At 38.9% G+C, this 22,068-nt stretch overlaps 1 protein-coding gene and 1 long non-coding RNA gene across 75 annotated transcripts in view, besides 1 other annotated feature; one reads left to right on the top strand and one right to left on the bottom strand.

Annotated features, from left to right (window-relative positions):
* Nucleotides 1-12,015, top strand: part of LOC105377374 (uncharacterized) — a 46,775-nt gene extending 34,760 nt beyond the window's left edge. The window contains exons 5-7 of one of the 2 annotated variants that reach the window (NR_199843.1): nt 7,979-8,068; nt 8,687-8,806; nt 11,058-12,015. This is a non-coding gene — a long non-coding RNA (uncharacterized LOC105377374). The remainder of the gene's footprint in view (nt 1-7,978; nt 8,069-8,686; nt 8,807-11,057) is intronic. The other variant, NR_199847.1, reaches the window with a different exon arrangement.
* Nucleotides 13,301-14,030: an enhancer, noted in NCBI's record as "NANOG hESC enhancer chr4:114306634-114307363 (GRCh37/hg19 assembly coordinates)". NCBI's record gives its function as "activates a minimal SCP1, AML or CMV promoter by ChIP-STARR-seq in naive H9 embryonic stem cells {active_cell/tissue: H9 hESC(naive)}" and the evidence as "EXISTENCE:reporter gene assay evidence [ECO:0000049][PMID:30033119]".
* The window catches only part of ANK2 (ankyrin 2), a 678,115-nt gene continuing 671,818 nt past the window's right edge, over nt 15,772-22,068 (bottom strand). For 71 of the 73 annotated variants that reach the window (NM_001386186.2, NM_001386148.2, NM_001354269.3 and 68 more), the window contains one exon: nt 15,772-18,051. In NM_001386186.2, coding sequence (NP_001373115.1) covers nt 18,037-18,051 — 15 coding nt within the window. In that variant the 3' untranslated portion in view covers nt 15,772-18,036. Of the gene's footprint in view, nt 18,052-21,326; nt 21,419-22,068 lie in introns of all 73 variants that reach the window. The other 2 variants (NM_001386174.1, NM_001386175.1) reach the window with 1 other exon arrangement.

The raw sequence follows: 22,068 nt of genomic DNA, 5'->3' as shown, positions 1-22,068 counted from the left end.
GCTCAAAGATGACTACTGTTCATCTAGCCTTTCTTTCGTGTTTGTGTGTGTGTGTGTGTAGGTGTATGCGTGTGTTTATATGTACATTGTAGGTGTATACATCAGTGTGTGTATGTATATGTGTGTGTTTGTGTGTATATGCAGGCATGTATATGTATATGTGTATTTGTGTGTATGTGTACGTGTATGTGTGGGATATGTGTGTGTATACATGTGTATAGGTAGGGACATATGTGTGTATAATGTGTAGGTGTGTGTATGCATAGGTGTGCGTGTATATGTACATGTATATGTGTATGTGTTTGTGCGTATGTGTATGTGTGTGTGTATGCATGGGGGTGTGTGTATGTGTAGGTGTGTGTGTATGTATAGGTGTAGATGTGTGCATGTATGTGTGTATATGTGTATGTGTAGATGTGTGTGTGTATATATATATGTAAATGTGTGTGTATGTGTATATATGTGTCGGTGTGTGTATACGTGTACATATGTGTAGGTGTATGTGTATATATGTGTAGGTGTGTGTATATGTGTACATATGTGTAGGTGTATGTGTATATATGTGTAGGTGTGTGTATGTATGTGTAGGATGTGTGTATGTGTATATATGTGTAGGTGTGTGTGTGTGTATGTGCGTTATGTGTATGTGGTGGTGGAGGTGTGTATCAGATGCTAAATGATACTTTTCCTGTTGACTGAGAGCCTGAAGTTTTTGTGGAGCCCTGAAGGTTAAGAATTCTAGGTGCTTAACCATTTCCCCTTGCAGGACAGGCTAAGAGTCTGTGAAACCAGTTTGACAACCCTAACTCATCAGTCACATTGGAAGAATCTAGTAAAAAGGGGAAGGTAAGGGTAGAGCTGGGCCTGGTGGTGTGGAGTACTTTGCAGAGATTGCTGATGTCCTGTGAATTTCTCCTTCATGCCCCCAGCTAAGCCTGCGGAGCTTTGAGGAGGCCGCATGCAAAGATAGGCGTGTGTCCGCTGGGATTTGGGAAATTGAGATAGCCTGACTCAGGCCAGAGGAGTCCCGAGTGGCCTGTGGTGGCAGAGCAAAGAAAAGAGGCAGGTCTACTTTGGTATGGCCTGAGCTTCCAGATACTTACAGGTTAAGAACGCAGAAGAGTCAGGTGGAAAAAGCAGCTCGGGGTGACTGGTCCTGAGCTGGCCTGCGAAGGACTGGATATGAAGACACGGCGAGGAGAGGCTGCCCCAACACAGAGTGTTGGTGAGCCAGCAGCCAGCCCAAGGGGTCCAGAGAGCCAGAGGGAGAAGGAGAAGAGGATGGGTGAGGGGTGCTGGTCAAATCTCTCTCTCTTCTATACACACACACAAACACACACACACTCACATGGCAGTGAAGGCGACACCATGCCTCCGAATCCCTCTCACTTCATTTTTTTTTTTTTTTTTTAGACGGAGTCTTGCTCTGTTGCCAGGCTGGAGTATAGTGGCACAGTCTCAGCCCACTGCAACTTCTGCCTCCTGGGTTCAAGCGATTCTCCTACCTCAGCCTCCCCGTTAGCTGGGACTACAGGCCGTGCCACCACGCCCAGCTAATTTTTGTATTTTTAGTAGAGACGGGGTTTCACCATGTTGCCCAGGATGGTCTCGATCTCCTGACCTCGTGATCCTGCCACCTCAGCCTCCCAAAGTGCTGGGATGACAGGCATGAACCACCGTGCCCGGCCCACTTCATTTTTTGAAAACGTTTCTCCTTTGCAAAATAACATTCACCTCACATATAGTAACACTCATTTAAAAATTTCAACTGTGTGTAAAGCCCAGGTATAAACACATTTCTGAATACCAGTTACAGCTTATATTAATAAACCCTGTCCTTGGTAAAAAGCATTCTGTTTTCCAATAATCTTATTTTCAAGAAGTTTCATCTTAATAACAGCACCAGGCTTTTAACTTTCTTTTCAGGGTTGGTCAGGGCCTTCTTCTTAGACCACACTGAAGCTTCTGTGCCTCCCATCTGAACCCCTTAAATCCATTCCACCCAGGGCTTTGCTGAGCACATTTCTGCTGTGGTTGTACATGGTCAAACACATAACATCCAAACTCCACAGCTTGGCATTCAAGAATTTCCGTAATTTAAGTTTTAAAAAAAATCTTTCAGATTTACCCAAAACTAGATCATTCGCCAAAACTAACTTCCTCCAGCAGCAAGACTTCCCTGAATGTGCCTTACGTGCTCCCTCCTCCCTGGTTTTGCTCACGCAGTTTCTCATTTCTCCAGGCTCTCCCCACTGTCCAGGAATGTTAGTTGAAAATCCTGGCATGAATGGAGAGAGAAATGGAATGTACTTCAGGGAAATACCGAATTCTACTGAAGGTTATTTCAGTTTAGGCTAGAAAAAGTTTAAGCATATTTTTTAGGCAAAGAGGAAGAAATTTATGTTTTAGAGAGATAAAAGGATTAAGAGGAGGTGGGATGAGATGCTATTAAAAACATAGGTCAAGGAGACATTTCTAAATGTAGAAAATTATGAGGGTTAAAGTATTTTGAGCATTGATGCCATATATCCTGGTGAATAGAAGGGCATCCATTTTAGTAAGACATTTTACAAAAAAAGCACCAAAGGTTGGAGGCAGATCCAAAGACTGGTTTGCAACCAGACAAAAGCCAGCAGAGCTGACTCTAGAGGGGTCAATGATTAACCCTCAGGCATAATATTAGCCTGAATCCCGAGCACCTGCGAAAAGAAGCAGTTTTAGCATCAGCAAGAATGTTTTCAATCCAGTGACTCCCTGGTGTATACAAGGTGTTTCTGCGTAAAAGTTATGTGACTCTAACTTTAATTATTTCTTCAAAAATTGATAAGTAGGCCGGGGATGGTAGTTCACAGATTGCTTGAGCCCAGGAGTTCAAGGCCAACTGAAACTCCATCTCTACAAAAAAAAAAAAAAAAAAAAAAGCCAAGAACGGTGGTGCATGCCTGTAGTTTCAGCTACTCAGGAGGCTGAGTGAGGTAGAAGGATCACTTAAGCCCAGGATGTCGAGGCTGCAGTGATTATGCCACTGCACTCCAGCCTGGGCAACAGAGCGAGACCCCGTCTCAAAAAGAAAAATCAATAAATAGCTACTTCTCTACTTTCACACGAGTTGTTAATGCCTCCAGTAGATATCAGGACTCAACCACACAGTATTGGTTTTGACAATCCTACGCCTCTGCAATTAAGATCTAATTCTGGCTCTCAAAATTACCTGTCTGTACCTAAAGATGGTTAATACAGTTTTCAGCATCCAACAGTACCTGGGAAAAATGACTTAAAAGATAACAAAAGAATTGTCATTGCAAACAGTTAAATGAACCCAGTCAGAGAATTATTTGAAGTTATCCAAAACCATTAAGGTCATTGGCAAGAAAAAGAAATAATCTATGTAAAACGCAGACTTGTTAAAAGTCCTCATAGCAAAGGTTTGGAAAGTCTGCATTCACACCTTCATGTACCCTTTCAGTAAATAATTATTATCTACTATATTCCAAGTACTATGCTATACCTTAGAGTACAAAGATGAAAACAGAGAAAGGATCTGACATAAAAGAGCTGAATTCTGGTTGGGAAAACAACAAAGTGAATATACTACAGTGAGATTGTCGCTGAAGTAGAGAGACGCAAGAAAGAGCACCTTAGACGACCTTGTAGAGACAAGAAAACCTGTGGGGAGACCATACTTGGGGTGTTTCTTGGAAGAGCTTCTCACGGGTTGGGGAAGAAACATTTCAGGGAGCAGGTGTGAGAACTGCAGTGGAGCAGGAGGCAGCTGCGGAGGGCACACTGCCTGAGGCTACACTCACCGCTGGTGGGGTTTGAGAGGTGGATGTTGGGGAAGGGGGCTGATGGAGATTAGCCCAGAGATCAACAGTGGTTGTAAATTATTATTTGCTTTTACGGTAAGTAAATATTACTTAAGTAACAAGGTATAGGATGTAATTATGTGATTCTGTACCCCAAAACGCTCACAAGAAAGTCATTTTCTGTAAGGGAAAAACTGTGAATCGCCAGCCAGATGCAATTATTACCATTTTCTTAGACATTTTATTGCCTTTCATCGCACTAATAGTTCCTAGTGTAATGGAGCTGTTACAAATGTGACCCTACCATTCTGGACCTATCTTTCTAACCGTGAGAGCTTGGACAAGTTACTCTACGTCTGTGTACATCACCAACCTCATCTGCAAAGTGGACACCAGAACCGCACTTACCTCAACAGGAGTGTTTTGTAAATGACAATGCCAGCAAAGTGCTTAGAGCAATATTTGGCTCATAAGAGGCTCTCAAGAACCGTTAGCGATGTTTGAAAGAAGGAATAATATCTAAACACATTTGAACTTAGTTTTTGTTTGTTTGATGGTTGAACTTTAATACAGTTTAACTTAATGGGCACTATGAGAATACAACTATGTGTTAAAATCGAGGCCTGTTAGAGCTGGCAAAGGTTTTAGAGTCAGCCAGTCCACAAGTCTCTCCACATTTTACAGGTGAAACTGTGATCTAGAAAAGTTCAGCAATGTTTCCAGTTACAAAGCTAAGGAGCTCGGAAAGTTCCAGTCTAGTGTGGAAGCCACTCCTAAGGCAAATGACTGATTGTCTGCTGCCCTCTAGTGGCTAGTTTGGGAAATTATCTTCTATACGGTAAGAAATGACACAGTACCACAAGAGCCGTTTATTTGCAGAAGGCTCACCAGGCAGGTTACAAAGTCTGCATGTGTTGTCTCTATAATGCAGTGTAAGTCAAAACTACTGGATGTTTTTATTATTTATATTTACAAGTAACTGCATTTTTTTCATACAAATCATGTAAGGTATTGCTCTTTTTGAGTATTTACAGCTTTCCTATGTTTAACTCACCTCTCCAATTATTTAAAACCAAAGTGTTGTTTATATATTAACAACATTTCACTGCCAGTATCTATTTCTGTTGTATTTGATTATTTATAACTAGATCATCTACCCTTCCTTTAAATAGCATATGATTAAAGAGAAGATAAAGAAGAAAGACAAACAAAGAAGAAATGAAGGAAGGAGGGAAAGAGGAAGAAAGGAAAGGGGGGAAGGAAGGAAGGAGGGAAGAAAGGAAGGAAGGAAGGAAAGAAGGAAGGAAGGAAAGAAGGAAGGAAGGAAGGAAGGAGGAGAGGGAGGGAGGGAGGGAGGAAGGAAGGGGCAAGAAAGAAACTACATAGTACTTGATGAGTCTCCCTTTTTATAGAGACCTGGAGAACAACTATGAATAAATCCACATGTTTACACATAAATTACATTTTACACAAATGTGAGTACGTGCTCTGCCGCCTCCTCTGGACCTTACTTACTCATATAAGATATATCTTTTTTTTTTTTTTTTTTTTTTTTTTAGACTCTCTGTTGCCCAGGCTGGAGTGCAGTGGTACGATCTCAGTTCACTGCAAGCCTCAGCCTCCCAAGTAGCTGGGATTACAGGCATGCACCATCACGCCCAGCTAATTTTTATATTTTTAGTAGAGACAGGGTTCCACCATGTTGGCAAGGCTGGTCTTGAACTCCTAAGCTCAAGTGATCTGCCCTCCTCGGCCTCCCAAAGTGCTGCAATTACAGGCGTGAGTCACCACGCTCGGGCCAAGACATATCTTGAAGATAACAGCTATACATGTTCCATTATGCATCCTGTTATAGATATAAAATTTGAATATTTTTACTATGATTTTTTAAAAGGTACAATATCTTCCTTTTGCATGGAGATGATCAATAAATTCCTTATAGTAGAATTGTTGAATCAAAGGAGTTTCTAAATGTTTAATTCTGAAAGGTGTTGTCTTCGTGCATTATTTTTCATTCCCACTGGCCTATGAGTGCCCCGTTTTCCCACTCTTGGGCGACCACTTGGTCTTATAAAAGTTGTAATTATTTCGAAATTGATGGGTTAAAAAGTTGCATCTTAATGTTTTGATTTATGATTTCTTTCATTATCGATGAGACCAGGATATTTTCCCAGGTAAACAAGTCATTTGAATGTTTTTGTGTGCCTATGTGAACAGCTTGTTCATATTTTTTGCTTTTTTTTCTGTTAAATTGTTGGCATATGAGACTTTTTTGGACAGTAAATTTATGCTTTTCCATTTATCTTTTAATTTAGCTTATAATATTCTTTCTGCATGGAAAGTTAAAATATTTATATGGTCAAATGTATTATTTTTTTCCACCATGATTTTTTTCTTGCCTACAAAGATCTTCCTAACCAAAGGTAATAAACCGTTTGCCTAAGCTTTCTTTTATTACTTTTACGGGTTCTTTAAAAAAAATTTACATGTAAATAATTGAGCTATCTATAAGGGATTTTGGTGAAGGTAACGCATAGGCATTCAGCTTTGTTTCCTGCCCCGAATTAGCAGCCATTTGACCTAACACTATAGTGTCTAGGCTTCATTTGAAATGCTGTATTTATTATGTGCCAAATTTCCATTGATTCCCCATCCTATTTCATTGCTCTCGCTGTCTCTTGCTACTCTAGTACTAAACTGTTTTACAAACAGTGGCTTAAAATATATTTTAATATCCGGTAGGTCTACTGAGTCAGGTGACAACATTCCTTTTTTTCTTACCCATAGAATCTTCTTGATTAATTCACATTCTTGTTTTTTCTTCCTATCAACTCAAATTAAAATCCTATAAGCAATTTTATGGTGATCTTATTAAATTAAGAAATAAATTAAGAAGGAATTGATGTATTTAAATTGTTATATGCCTATATATATATAAGTTAGTGCAAGTCCCTCCATTTATGGAAGTAAAAACTTGAAACATTTTAAAATAGGCTCTTTCTAAATGTATAACTAGGCATTTATTCTCTATTGTAAATGATATATAAAATTCCCTTCATTTTTATTTTTAATTTGGAGGGGTCTGTGTGTGTGTGTGTGTGTGCGTGTGTGTGTGTGTGTGTGTGTGTGTGTTAAGGAAAGTTAGACATATTCTATGATGAGTTGAAAAGAGTGACCAAATGGTTGACAGTAATTTTTCTTTCAGTTGGTTCCTTTTGGCTTTCCTGATTCACAAACATCGTTTGCATATTGACAATGTTTACCTATTCTTTTTTTTATTTTTATACTGTATTTCTTGTTTTTTGTCCATTGTATTGAATTGAGTAATACTTCCTTTTTAATATTATGCCTTTAATACTTTGCCTTTAATGTTATGCCACTAAGGACATAGGGGACTTTATTGTCTTATTCTCAGTTTTAAAGCAGAAATGCTCCCAGTGTTCATCTTCAAACAAGATGAATTTTGGTGTGAGGAGCATGTGTCCCCTTCTTAGTTCCCGTAATTAAATTAAAAAAAAAGTTACAAGATAAAAAGGCATGAAGTAAAAGGTATTCCTGATGAAGCACAAATTCTAGTTAAAATCAAAATCAATTGTGAACTACATCTTAAAAGTAAATTCTTTCTAACTGTATTATGTGACAATAGAATCTTCAATTTGCTTTCTCTTTGTGTTTCTTAATAAATGTATGAGGATTTTGACCTTTTTACAAGAAAGAATTCATAAATACTCCCTAACTGATATCACCTTGTAAGCAGATGAGCTAACAATTTAGATACCAATTTTAAAAGGAATGATAGGCCAGGTGTGTGTCTAACACCTGTAATCTCAGCACTTTGGGAGGCTGAGGCAGGTGGATCACTTGAGTCCAGGAGTTTGAGACCAGCCTGGGTGACACGGTAAAACCCCATCTTTATTAAAAAAAAAACCACAATAAAAATGAATGGTTTAATTGGTGATGCTGAGGGCCAGCACAAGGCAGGCAAGAGGAGAGATGTGGTTGTGTTGGGTGAGAAATCAGAGATAAGGTTTTTTCTGTTGTTGCAAATTATTGCAAAAGCTACGCTAAAATGATTGTAACTTAAGTGCTCTTAACAAAGGATTATTTGATCATTTGTAAAGGAAATGCAATTCATACATACACATACACATACATAATTTGATTGCCTTCAGGAAGAATACATCCCTTCCTACTTTCTTAAAAGGACATGAAATGGATGCTAAATTTCACCAAATGCCTCTTGGCCAACTATGGAAACATTGGTATGTGGTTGTTTCTCCTTTAATCTTCCAATATGAGGAATTTCATTAACAGCTATTACTAATGAACTATTTTTGCTTGGAACGAAACCATTTGTTTATAGTTTGTTTTTAAAATGCATTGTCAATTATATTATATTTTATTTGTAATTTTTGTAAAGAGATTCCTTAGTGAAATTGGTCTAAGAATTTTTGTTGTGTTATTTTGAGGTTCTTTTGATGTAATTTGCCCAGTTTGGGTACCAATGATATACTTGCTGTCTTAAAACAAGATAAACTAGGAATTTTTCTCCTGGGAGTCTCTGGTGGTTTCAGTATTAAAATTATCTGTGTATTGAGAGTTTAAGAGAATCCATCTGTGACAGCACCTAGATCTCATTCTTTCTTGTGGGGTTAAATATTTGCTGACTCAAATTATTTTATGGTTATTGGGGTTTACCTTTATTATCTCTTCTGTGGTAGATTTTATTAATTATCTTTTAAAAATCATCTCTCTTATTGGAGTTTTTATATTTACTTACAAAAAATAAGGTAACATTTTCTTACTATTATCTATTATTTCCTCTCTAATTATCTCCCCCCCCTTTTTTTGTTTTTGTTTGTTTGTTTGTTCTGAGACAGTCTTGCTCTGTCACCCAGGCTGGATGGAGTGCAGTGGTATGATCATAGCTAACTGCAGCCTCAATTTCCTGGGCTCAAGCAATCCTCCTGCCCCAGCCTTCCAGGTAGCTGGGAACACAGGTACGCATCCCCATATTTCATTAATTTTTAAATTTTTTTGTAGAGACGGAATTTCACCACATTGCCCAGGCTGGTCTAGAACTTCTGGGCTCAAGCAGTCCTCCCACTTTGGCCTCCCAGAGTGCTGGGATTACAGGCATGAGCCACAGCACTCAGCCTCCATTCTCTTTTTTATCATTGCATATTTCTACTTTCTCTTTTACCTCTTGATGATGTTACTAGCCATTATCAATATTATTATTTCAAAAGGTAACTCTTAGATATATTTTGCATTTTCACATTTTTATTTCCTACATTAAAACCTTCATAAATTGAAGGTTTCTATTTATCTCAATATATATAATATGTGGCATGTTCTCTTAAGTTTGCCATAGGCCAGCCCCTCTCCTGATTTTCTATGTTCAGACAATTCACATATTATTTTCCTGTCTGGCTACTCTCAGCACAGGAATTAGAACCCTAGTTTGAAGCTTTTAGTTTTCTTCTGACCTCTGTTTAGCCATATCTCATAGTTTCTAATATGTTTACTGTTCAGCATTTTTTGAAGCCACACTGCAGGAAGATTGAGTAATGAAAAACTAGGAAAGCATATGTAGAAAAAAAGGCAAAGGAAAAGAGAGAGAGAAAGAGAGCATTAGTTAGGTGTAAAGACAGGATTCAGGGATAAATCTATTTTTCTCATAAGCTGTGCTCACAGGCTGGGAGAGAAAGCCATCATCAGTGAGCACACCATGACAGAGCAAGGCCGCAGGAGATGGGGAGGGGACAGCAAGAATGTCTTTGTCCGTTTGGGATGCTGTAACAAAATACCATAAACTGGACAGCTTGTAAACATAGACATTTATTTCTCACAGTTATGGAGACTGTGAAATCCAAGGTCAAGATGCCAGCAGATTTGGTGTCTGGTGAGGGCCCATTTTCCAGTTCATGGATGGCACCTTCACTGTGTCCTCGCATGGCAGAAGTAACTAGCTAGCTCTCTGGGGTCTCTCTTATAAGGATGCTAATCCGAATCATGAAGGTGAAGCCCTGCCAAAGGCCCCACCTCTTAATACTATCATGTTGAGGGTGGAGGATTTCAACATATGAATCACCTCCCAAAGGCCTCACTTCCTAATACCATCACATTGCAAGGGTGATTTTAACATACGAATTTTGAACATAATATTTAGACCATAGCAAGGACACAGGCCATAAATCCAGGAGACAAGAGAGCATTCTTTGTGAGAACAATGAGTAGTAGGGTTCACGTAAATACAGACAATTTTGGAGGTAGTAATAGAAAAGGCATTTGTGATGGCTAATTTACGTGTTAACTTGACTGGGTCATGGGGTGCCCAGATATTTGGTTAAACCCTATTCTGGGTATGTCTGTGAGTGTGTTTGTAGAATGAGATTAACATTTGAATGGGTGAACTGAGTAAAGCAGACTGCCCTCCCTAATACAGGTGGGCCTCACCCAATCAATCAAAGACCTACATAGAACAACAACAAAAAGAAAATAAAAGAAACTAAGACAAAACTTCTGCTTGACTGCCCTTCAGCTATTAGTTTTCTTGCCTTCAGACTCAAACGGAAACACTGGCTCTTCTTGGATCTCAAGCCTGCCTTCAGACTGAATCTATATCAGCTCTGCTCACTCTGCTGAGTGCAGATCTTGCGACTTCTCAACCTCCATCATCATGTGGAACAATTCCTTACAATAAATCTCTTTATATATGTGTGCACACACACACACACACACACACACAGGCATGCATGCACACAGGCACATACACACTATTGGTTCTGTTTTTCCAGAGAACCCTAATATAGCATTGTAGTAATTCATGCCCATTGACATCTACTTTCTTATAAAACAGCGTCAAGTTCATCTGCCAAATGTGAAGCAGATAAGGAAGAGAAAATGGGCTTGAGAAGCAAGAAAGAGATTTTTCAGAATAGTAATGACAAAGTTACTGAATAAGGTCTGTTTCCCTTTATAAATATATTTTTCCAGAAGAAGAAGAATTTTTTCCGGAAGAAAAGTAATTTTTAATTAATTGTTAAATGATCAGTTCAATATGTCTCTGCTGCAAGATTATAAATCCAAAGGGAAGGGTCTGTGTTTTTCAAAGATGGAGTGTTGTTTATTGTTGGTGCCATTTGCTTGAGTTCTTATCCCAGCTTTGTCGTTTTCTCTCTGCATGATTTGGGGCATGTTATTCAATTTCTTTTCCCCTCAGTTTCCTCACCTGGATCTGTTTCCTAGGATTGTGATGGAGATGAAAGAAGAGCATTGAATAGTAACTGGCAATAGTGAAAACTCAGCAAAAGTGACCCATTGGGCCATGATCTTGGCCCAGTCTACCCTGAGCACTATAGCACAATGTTTAAAATATAGTAGGTCTTGAATTGCATGCATTTGTGGATGGATGAAGACTGTTATTCTCTGGCTTAGCCACTGTGATTGATTGTTAGCAGCTGAGCATTATTTTGGACCTATTCTACATTCTTCCCTGCATGTTGGGGGAAGAGCCTCAGGTATACATTTTTTGGAATCCCTTTCCAGTGGGGTTATGTATTTGATTTTGCCGATGAAAGTTGTTTGCCCAAGATTTGAAAAGGAAAGAGAAGAAAAATGATTATACCTTTGGGAGCAGCTGGGGAGAGGTGCATGGACTCTGGCAGAAGACACATGGAGTGTTTTTGCAGCCATATATGGGCTATCTCCTAAGAAACATATACTTTGCTGCTACATGAATCTGAGCCCTTCAGTGGCAGCTTGGATTTCTGATTTCTGCACTGGTGGATTTCTTCGTAGCAGTAGTAGCTCCTCAGTGTGAAAGGAAAATAAAAGCTTGGGACCCCCAATGCACTATGCCACAAGGAAAAAATTAAGCTGAAAGCTGAGTCAAGCAAGACACTGACTTTCCTTTTGTTTCTAAGCAGATAGCTACAATAAAAGGTTAAAAATCCCCACGGGTAGCTACTCTATGTAAAGCGCCAATTTACTGAGTGCCAAACGAATACATAATTGAGTATTCCCCTACCTGCTCCTTTTCCCTTGCAGCATGTGAATTTAGTAGTGTGATCATACCCTTCCTTTTCCTCCTCCAGCCTGCTTTTCCCCGTTCAATACTGAAGCCCTCAAAATTATTTTCGAAGAAGGCACAGACCTATCTCCCAGGCATGTCCTCAATTTTGGCAAAATAAATTTCTAAACTGATTGCGACCTGTCTCAGATCGTTTTTGGTTTACACCTGCCTTCATTTGTTGTGGCACTCCTGACACTGGTGTGAGTTTCTAATCCCCTGCATTAGATCCCTTCCTTCTTAAAATACCTAGAGGGCTTTGTTTTTTGGATTAAGCCCAATTGTTAGGGGATGAATTGTGTCCTCTCCTCCTCCAAATTCATGTCAAAGCCCCTAACACCCACTACTTCAGAATGTGACTGCATCTGGAGATAGGGGTCTTCAAAAAGGTGATTAAGTTAAATGAGGCCATTAAGGTTGGCTGTAATTCAATATGATTGGCATCCTTACAAAATGCAGAAAATTGGACATACACAGAGACATAAGGGATGTGGGCACACAGACAGGAAAGTCCATGTGAGGACAGCGAGAAGGTGGTGGTCTGCAAGCCAAAGAGAGTGACCTCAGGAAAAAAAAATCTTGCCCATATTTCAGTCTTAGACTTTTAGCTTCCAGGACTGTGAGAAAATGACTTTCTGTTGATTAAATCATCTGGTTCATGCTATTTTGTTATGGCAGCCCTAGGAAACTACTACATTAATCTGAACACAAATTGGATTGTTAGAACAATAGACTCTAAATTATCTCCCTGACTCTTTGAGGAGAAAGGGTATGCTATGGTCGTTCTCTAAGGCTCCAAGGTATCACCTATCTGTGAGTCACTTGAAAAATTCACACAAGGCACCTTTCATCCAGAAGTTGCTGCTGTACCAGTGCCATGTGAGTTCTGTAGCACAGCCTAGACGAGGTCTGAGTTCTGATCAACAGCCAGGAAAAACTGGCACAATGCGTATGTGTATTTTTTGTGGATATCATGATTCAGTTTTTTCTGCACATCATAAAGGCAGCTGAGGTGTCCATAGCCACCTCCAGTCAAGCCCAGACCCTGCCCACAATGCTCTGTAGCAGCTGTGGAGGACCTGCTGCTAATGGGGGCATAGCCATTCAGTAGGGGAGTTTGAGTGACTCTCTCCAATTCTGTAGTCAGTTTTGACAGGTAAGAAAAAAAGAACACCTCAAAATAGAGAGTGTGGGGGAAGAAAAAGGAATGGAAACCAGAACCGAGTTATAAGGGCCTGTGATGGTTGATAATGAGTGTCAACTTTATTGGATTGAAGGATGCAAAGTATTGATCTTGGGTGTGTCTGTGAGAGTGTTGACAAAGGAGATTAACATTAGAGTCTGTGGGCTGGGAAAGGCAGGGACACCCTCAATCTGGATGGGCACCATCTAATCCAGCTGCCAGCATGGCCAGAATATAAAGCAGACAGAAAAATGTGAAAAGACTAGACTGGCTTAGCCTCCCAGACTACATCTTTCTCCCACACTGGATGCTTCCTGCCCTCAAACATTGGACTCTAAGTTCTTCAGCTTTGGGACTCGGACTGGCTTCCTTCCTCCTCAGCTTGCAGACAGCCTATAGTGGGACCTTGAGATCATGTGATTTAATACTCCTTAATAAACTCCCCGTATACATATCTATCCTATTAGTTCTGTCCTTCTAGAGAACCCTGACTAATACAGGGCCCACTGAAGAAACAGAAAGAGATCCTGAAGAGTCCTTCCTCCAAATGGGAAGTGAATCGAAGGGCTTAACTGACAACATCCCTGTGATTCTCATTATAATAGGAAAAGATTTAACTGTATTTTCTAACCTACAGGGGTAAGCTAATGCCTTTAACACCTACCCCGAGGCTGACTCCTACACAAAGAGGCAGAGGGTCACAAACAGGGATCCACAATGAACGGACATCAAGGATACTTGCACAACAGGGGCTCTTCTACACTAAGGAGTGACAGACAGGCCAGGGCTGGCTGACCTTCCCTGCCTGGAGCAGTGAGATGCATCCAAGGCTAGTAGCAGTGTCTCCTATTTTACTGATGAGGAAATTGTCATCCAGTCGATAAACCTTTACAAAGTCATGGAAGGGGGCTAGACAGAGCTGGACTGATTCCAATCCAGGTCTTACTGTAAGATAACACACTTACCAATTTGTCACATTGCCTCATGGAAACATTCCATGAACTGAACAACTGAATGTCTCCAGTGACTGAAGACATCTCTTGAAATATTACATGTGCCACTGCCAAATGTCTCTGTTTACCATAGATAATAGCTCCATCCAAAGTCTATCCATATGCACTATTTACTTCATACTGTGGAACTAATTTAAAGCCAGGGAGTACTTTTGTTTTTCCCAGAAGGCCTGAGTATAACCCAATAGGAGTATTTTAATTTGTGTTCAGGACATCGCCCCCTCCATCCCCACCGCACAGATATCTAAAAGATTTTCTTACTTTGGTGATTCAGTCTATGATTGTAATTCTAGCTTCAATTAGATTAGAAAGAGAAATGATACCTTAAATGAAGGAAGGAGCATATAGTTTTTAAGCAGAGGTGGCAACCAAAGACATAGACTTTGAAATATTTTCTTTTAGAGCATGATGAAAGCAAGCAGTTCATTTTTATTCTGTTATTCAGGAGAACCTCGTAGTGATTTTGGTTCTCACTAGACCTACGTTTAACTTCTCTTTATCTGATTTATTCATTTGCCTGACTACTTGCCCACACCCAGACTCTCCATGCTTACAGAAATCAAGTGACTCCACGAGCAAACTAATTTCAAATTCAATTCAAGCCTGTTTCCGAGTGCTTATATGTCACTTTCACCTCTTCATGACTAATACAAATGATTTATGAGTGGTGCATAATCTTCTCTCAGTCTGGAAGTTTCCCCCACCCTACCTTTAAATATACTTCTGTAAAACGGCATATGACTCACTGAAGTTCTTTTACAAAAATGGGTTTTGCACAGCAAATAATTAAACATGAGAAGACATTGAATCTTCTCTGATGCTTTGATTTCCTTAATCAAACCCAAAGTAACACAAGCCCAGAGTTCCTGTAAGTAGAAAGTACAGCACATTAAACAAATGAGAAGGAGAGAGATGATCACACAGACACTCCTACTTTGGAATTATTTTTAACTGTTTTCTTTGAAAAATGTCAAGCATAATTGGTATTTTAAGTTCAGAAGACCTGTAAATCAACCAAGGATAGAAATCAGATCCAGTGAGCTTCCTGTCTCATACCAGATAAGATTTAAATAAAACCTACTCAATTTCTAAATCATGTCTTTTTTGTTTTGTTTTTACTGTAAAAAATATTAAAGCAACAGTAAAGGGATTTTTCAAAAAATGAAACAAAACTCTCCACACACAACTGATTTTGATTTTCCATAGTCCTACCCTGTCTTTATTTATATTAATATATCCATTTAATTTTAAATTCTCAGGCTCTAAGACAGAAAGAAAACTCCAGAGCCAACTGCTGTTCCCAAAGACAGAAAGTATTTAGTGACAGCCATGGCCTCATGGGAGAGAACCAAACCAGTCTTGCTGTGCTGCCAATCCCACTTACCCTTTCTCATCCCCTGCAAGTCCCCAAATTCCTATTTTCTTTCATTTAGTAGTGATCCAAAACAAAAATCCTCATTTTCTTCTTTTGCATAACAAGAACAATAAGAATTTCTTGAGGGCAGAGGCAAAATCTATTTATCCCAGTGCTTAATCCAGTGCCAGGCATATAGCATATTCAGCGACTAAATAAAAACCATAAGAAAAAAAGCAATTTGTGTCTTTCTGTTGGTTTCAAGTCTAGCTCAACTTTTTAAAACCTCTTATTCTCCTGAAATCACAGATTCATGATAAAGAAGAACAAATCACCGTTGCCACATTTAACACTTGTACATTTTATTTAATTAAATCAGCCATTGTACACATTGCAGCTATGTATTGTTAGTGTTGTATTTTTTTTTCCATTAACTAATACATGCCCTCATAGATATATTCAATTAGTGTTATCACCATGGGAACAAGATGCTGATTCGTCAACTGAAAATTCACTTCTTCTCACAGTATTCAAGTTTTTGATAACACAGCAAAAATCAAAATCAAAAAAAGGTGAATAACCATTATGTTGTTACACAGACATCATCTGCACTGCAAATAACACAACAGAAATGCTTTTCTTGAGCTCCAGTGAAGGTTTTGACAAGAAGGCCATAGGGTGTCTCAAAAAGTTTCACCATCGGCCTCTCTTATTTTGGCTGCCAAAGAATGTCTCATTTCCTATCCAACTGCCAAAAAGTGCTAGCATTTGAGGCTTAGGAGATTTGGCTTGTGGGAAACCTCCCTCCCAGGAAATTTTTTCTCTTGGCAACATTACTTTAAATGATGAAGTGCCATTGTTTGTCGCATTTGTTTTTGACATTCGGAGCAATGAGTCATTTTTGCACAACAGGAAAAGACCAGATAATTGGAAAATGTTCAATCCCTGGAGGATAGACTCTGTCCTTTTTTATTTAAATTTCATCTTCATTGAATATACTTTTCTTTAACAAATGACTGATTCAAAATGTATACTGTTTATATGAATATATTTGTGAATATATATATGTTAAAATGCTACACAGCTTCAACCACTAGAGGAATAAGGAAGAGGACATGGAAATTACTCAGATTGTTACAGTCCCTTCTTTGAGACAAACAAACAGAAGTGCACAAATGCACTTAAGAGTTTCCAAGGGAGTGTGGATTTCAAATAAATAAACCAAAAATTTTAACCAAAACCAAATTTTCAAGGATTTCTCAATCTTGTCTGCAAGCTGAAAAACAGACCTAGCTGGAAAGTGAAAAGTGCTCACTCAGGGTAAAAAGAATGGAAACAATTAATGTGATTAGAAGAGGGGTTTGACCGTGGTCTTGATTTTTAAACGCCACATGCAGGTATTAGAGAAGATATAAACCTGAAGAAAAAAAAGAAAGAAAGAAAAAAAAAAAGAAACCACTCCAACATACTGAAGGAGTTTAACCTTTTATGTAGTGGGTAAATCTTGTTTCCAATGAATTATCTACAGTGCAGTGGCCAGAAGAAAGTACCACTGTAAGACAGCGTGGTTTGCTAAAGCAGCAATGAAAACTGGAAAACTACAGTAGTTATAGCTTTTAAAATACCCTGCCAACTTGTCCAAGATCTAAAGACCTGAAGATGCTAGAATGCCACACAATGTAGCTGCCAGCAACTGAATACCCCATCGGTTCATTCTGCGTGGCCTCTGCTCCCTTCTCCCCTCCCTCAGAGTGGCTGTTGGAGTCCTAAGCCATGGCTGGCCAGCACCAGCAATAACTTCTCAGGACAGTTCTGCAAGGCTACTGACCCACCTTTAACTGGGAGCAGTGGCTACTCTGGAAGTTCTAAGGACATAATAGGTTTGAAGTGCTTCTTTTGCAGTAAAACTGTATTATCACTCGATTGTGTTAGCAATATCTTAATTAACCATTGTTCAGCAATTTCTAGAGGCCTTTTATTCTGATGCCCAGTGTAGTTACAATAGGCAGTGGTTTTAATTTTAATATGTTGTTCATCTGAGCATTTCAGCTATATACATTGTACATAGATATTCCTTGGAAGGATTCCTACATAGTGTCACTTGAAGAGGTCTGCAGGTGAAGTTCTTCTGATCAATGGATTTTCATGGATCTTGTGCAGAAGCAAAGAACAATGGAGGTGGCCAGTTCCCAGGTTAGCACAGACACAACAAAGTATTGGATACAGCATCCAGTATGAAGGATGCCATCTTTGGTCACAAATTAGCTTTATAGTTAAAGAGGATGGGGGAAAACTAAAGCAAAATGCCGTATATTTGCTAACAGTGGAAATGTCGGGGTATCCCATTAATTAGGCCAGTTAGGTCACTCCCCTACTGAAACAGGAAGCTGCATATTGAGTGAATGTGTGGTTTCTGGTGTGAGAACTGGGCAGCCCCTCACTTGGCCTCTTGCTTCAAGTCCTCCTTGCAGAAATGCCGAAGGAGCTGCTGGAGATCGCGCTGGAGGTCGTCCTGGTCTAGTGCTTCTGGTACATCCTCCAGGTGCTCCAAGTCAATGCGTTTTCCATGCTGGTCCTTCACCACAGCCCTCTTCTGTGTGATGGCTTTACTCATTGTTGTCCTGGAGAAAAGCAGACAAGAGAGAATTACGCTCTTTTCACTGCCAGAGGGCAGCTGTTAGGAATGAAGGTGACCATTACACTGAGTACCTAATGTCTTACCTTTAGATGTTTCCACAGCAAACTATTAGCATAACAAACTATAGACATCTTTTTGTGTCTTTCTTTTAAACATGGCTCCCCTCTCTCAAACGATTCATGAGATTTTTTTAAAATGTGTTTTGGAACAAGGAGTATTTTTTAAATCTTTAAGAAAAATTTAAAATAAATGAAACCATGCTTTAATTTGATCTTCTCAAAAACTAACCATAAAATCATTCATGGTTTGATTAAGTAGCCCTTACTTAATAGAGTTTGGTTAATTCTGAAATAGTACCACAAGTACCTTTTGACAGGCTAAAAAAACCTTTTTTTAATTTATTTGAAACACCTTGGCTGCCAGCTTAAACCTTACAGTCATACCCTGACCCAAACTTCCCAAAATTATGTTTTCAGAGAAGTTTTTTATGAGGCATATGTCTTTAAAAACTAAAATATTAGTCTATCAATATATAAGAAGGTGGCTCCCAACAAAAGATGAAGATCTGCCCAGGTCTCTAAGGCTTCATATGGAGATGGTGGGGGAGGAAGGGGAAAAGAGAAAAGCCATTGAGAGACAACTGCTTCCTCCGGATTCTCCAAGCCTCACATATGTTGCTCATTTTGTGTATTTCTTGCCATTTAACAGTCTGTTGTTTACTTGCCTCCCTTATAAGACTGGTGGTTACTTGAGAAAAGGAACTATAACACCTTTTCTTGAGACGGAGTCTCGTTCTGTCACCCAGGCTGGAGTGCATTGGTGCGATCTTGGCTCACTGCAACCTCTGCCTCCCGGGTTCAAGCGATTCTCTGGCCTCAGCCTCCTGAGTAGCTGGGACTACAGGTGTGTGCCACCACACCCAGCTAATTTTTGGTATCTTTAGTAGAGACAGGGTTTTGTCATGTTGGCCAAGCTGGTCTCGAACTCCTGAGCTCAGATGATCTGTCCACCTTGGCCTCCCAAAGTGTTGGGATTACAGGTGTGAGCCACCACATTGGGCCAGGAGCTATAACTTTTGTATAGTCATATTAATTTTAAGTCATACTAATATTTTCCTGTAACTGTACTTAAAAGTAATTTGCTCATTCTCAATTCTTTTCACTATATATTCTTCTTTTTTTTTTTAGAGTAAAGTAAAAGCAAGTTTATTAGGAAAGCAAAGGAATAAAAAATGGCTACTCCATAGGCAGAGCAGCCTTTTTCACTATACACTTCCAAATGCGGGTCCTCATTCCACAAGTATTTGACGAATGTGTTGTATGGGCCAGACACTAGTATAACAAATAAAGAAATTGAATCTCCGAGAATTTAAGCAATAGTCCAAACAAAAAATAACAGAATTAGCACACAGTGGGACCAAGAGTCAAAGATTCCAGAGCCTGAGTCCATAACCATACACTATGCATCTACACTTAAAACCGCCATAGGAAATGATCAGTTTTTGTAGCTTTACCCAGCATTTTCCTTATGTTTTCATTGTTCAGAAGTTGGAAGTTCTGCCATCATCCAATACCTCTATGCATTTGTTACGATCATCCTGATTTTTAAAAATAACTTACTTCAGCTAAAATACTTTCAGCTTTTTTTTGGACATCCTTGTTTCCTTCTTCCTTCTTCCCTTATGTTCTTCTACTCCCCTTTTTCCTTTAATACTATATGAATTGTTCTGCATCTGGAAGCAAACTTAAATTTGTTCTTGCTGATGAAAAGGTCAAATTTGATTCCAATGATTGAAATCTGATGTTTTCCTAAATACGCGGCAGCCATTTTTTTTTTCTTCAAAAAGGCACTTTTCTGACTATTTCTGCTAAAAGCTAGTAGAAGCCTTTATAGCATTGATGCCAGGGGTTAAGCCTCCATTATAGGACATTTCGTGATATTCTGTGTAGGCAAATGTAGGCCAATGTGTTTCTGAATATGCACATGTATATGATATCTTTAACAATGTATAAAATAAATGTTGTACATCATAAATAGAGTTCTGTAACTAACTAGCTTCCATAACTAACTAGCTGTGGAAACTCTATGGAGTTGTCTATATTCCTGGCTTCAAATTCACCAGCTGTAATTGAGAACTTTGGATTAATTGATCTCTAAATCTATTCCTGTTTGAAGAGCCCATGATGTTAGTGCATGCGTGGATTATGTGGTTTCATCTGAATAATTGAATAAAAGACTTAAAAGTTGAGAGTATAAAAGGCATTTTATCCTTAATTCATGTAGCATTTTTTAAGTTCTGAGAGAGCAATTACACTCTTTTAAATTCCTAGCTGCTGCTCTTTTCCCATTTGATTGGTGGGTGGAATTGTGACAGAACCTTTAATTTTGCTGTTCTAATTATTATGTTCTAAAGGCTTAAAATAGTTCTGTAGCATACTCTGAATGACAATCTTTCTCCCTTTTCAATGAAGTGAGAAGCACAATTGTAACTTGGATTTCCATTGTGTCTTTTCACCGAGAAGCTGAGCACATTTTATTAATCTCAATACTTACAGTGCTGTTAGAGGACCAGTGAGAAGCCAGAGTAGATCTGTGGAACAGTGCCCAAGTTTATACATCAAATCCATAACAGAGACCTGGGCAGACCAGTGTGCCTCACAGTCAGCCCCCTTGTATAAGCGTAAAAATGTGCTGCTTACTGCTTTCATGACACTTGCTTAACTCATTAAAGCCCCAGGTTTCAGCATCGCTAGGTATATTTGTTTCATGGATATCAAACTCATGCTTATGTTATTGGCCACTCACATGCAGAATCATAAAGCAGCTGTTAAAAGAAAGCACATACCATTCAAAGTAATGATTTACTAAGATTGAGCTGAATATAGCTGGTCACAAAATTAATCTGTGATCCATCGATTAGATTCTTCTTCCTATGCTCTCTGAATCTATCGACACAATGTAATACCATCAGGCTGGCTTCAACTAAGTTGATGGCTTGCTAAAACCCAGGGAGTCAGACTGTGTAAGCGTGAGTCTCATTCTTGCTATGACTTAGTATTATGTTTGAAGTATCAAGAGGATACTTCAGGGATGATACTTCAATAGATCCATTACTTGACCAAAGTATTATAATACAGGAGAGTAGGCAGTTTTCTATCCTCTTTAGGGTAGATGTAGGGATTCTCCCCTTCTTTTCTTAAAATTGGAAAAATTTTTATGGTGTTAGTTGGCAAAGCATCACCCCATGCTAACCCAAACCTTTTAATTATTGATCCATCCTCTTTCAGGATTTCATTCTCTACTAAACTGGGTAAGTGGACTTTCATGTGGCTACCTGTGTAACTCAAAGCCTGAAGTAAGAAGAAAAGAAAAGACAAAGCTCATCATAAACTATAGACTTTCAAACAATCTATTGCTTTGCTTTACTCATAGTCAGTATGAAAAGATATACTTGAAACGATAAATAAATACAATTCCTAGAAGCAGACTTAAGTTTGGAGTTTTATTTAACAAGTCCTTTTAGTTTCTCTCATTTGTGAGGGAGATTTGTTATTGTACTTTACAAAAGCTGCTAAGCAACATCCATATGGATTGACTTTCAATTTCCTCCTTGCTTCACCCAACTGCTTTCTACAGTGGAGATTTTAATGATAAATGTAAGAACCAGAGGCAAAAACAAGCAAACAAGGCCCAAATGGTATAACACAGATAATTCATTTTTGACCATTCAAGATTGCCAGTTGTCAAAATGTGAAAACTGAAAGTATTTTAAGAGGTTTGCTTTTAATATTCCAATGAATTCATATATAATTTCAATATATATTATGGGTATAGTAGAGGACACACATACAGCATTTAGTGTCAAAATGTTCCAATAGCAAAAGTACTTTGTAGATGTTTGCACATGCCCAGGATCCCTTAGTCAAAACTTTGGGACCAGATGTGTTTCAAAATTTAGATTTTTTTGTCCCTTTTGGATTTTAGCAAGGTAATATAATGC

Source organism: Homo sapiens, chromosome 4 (genome assembly GCF_000001405.40).
Source record: "Homo sapiens chromosome 4, GRCh38.p14 Primary Assembly".
In the NCBI taxonomy this organism is placed as follows: Eukaryota; Metazoa; Chordata; class Mammalia; order Primates; family Hominidae; genus Homo; species Homo sapiens.
Note: the sequence above shows the minus strand (reverse complement) of the source record. Positions and strands in the feature narration are given on the sequence as shown.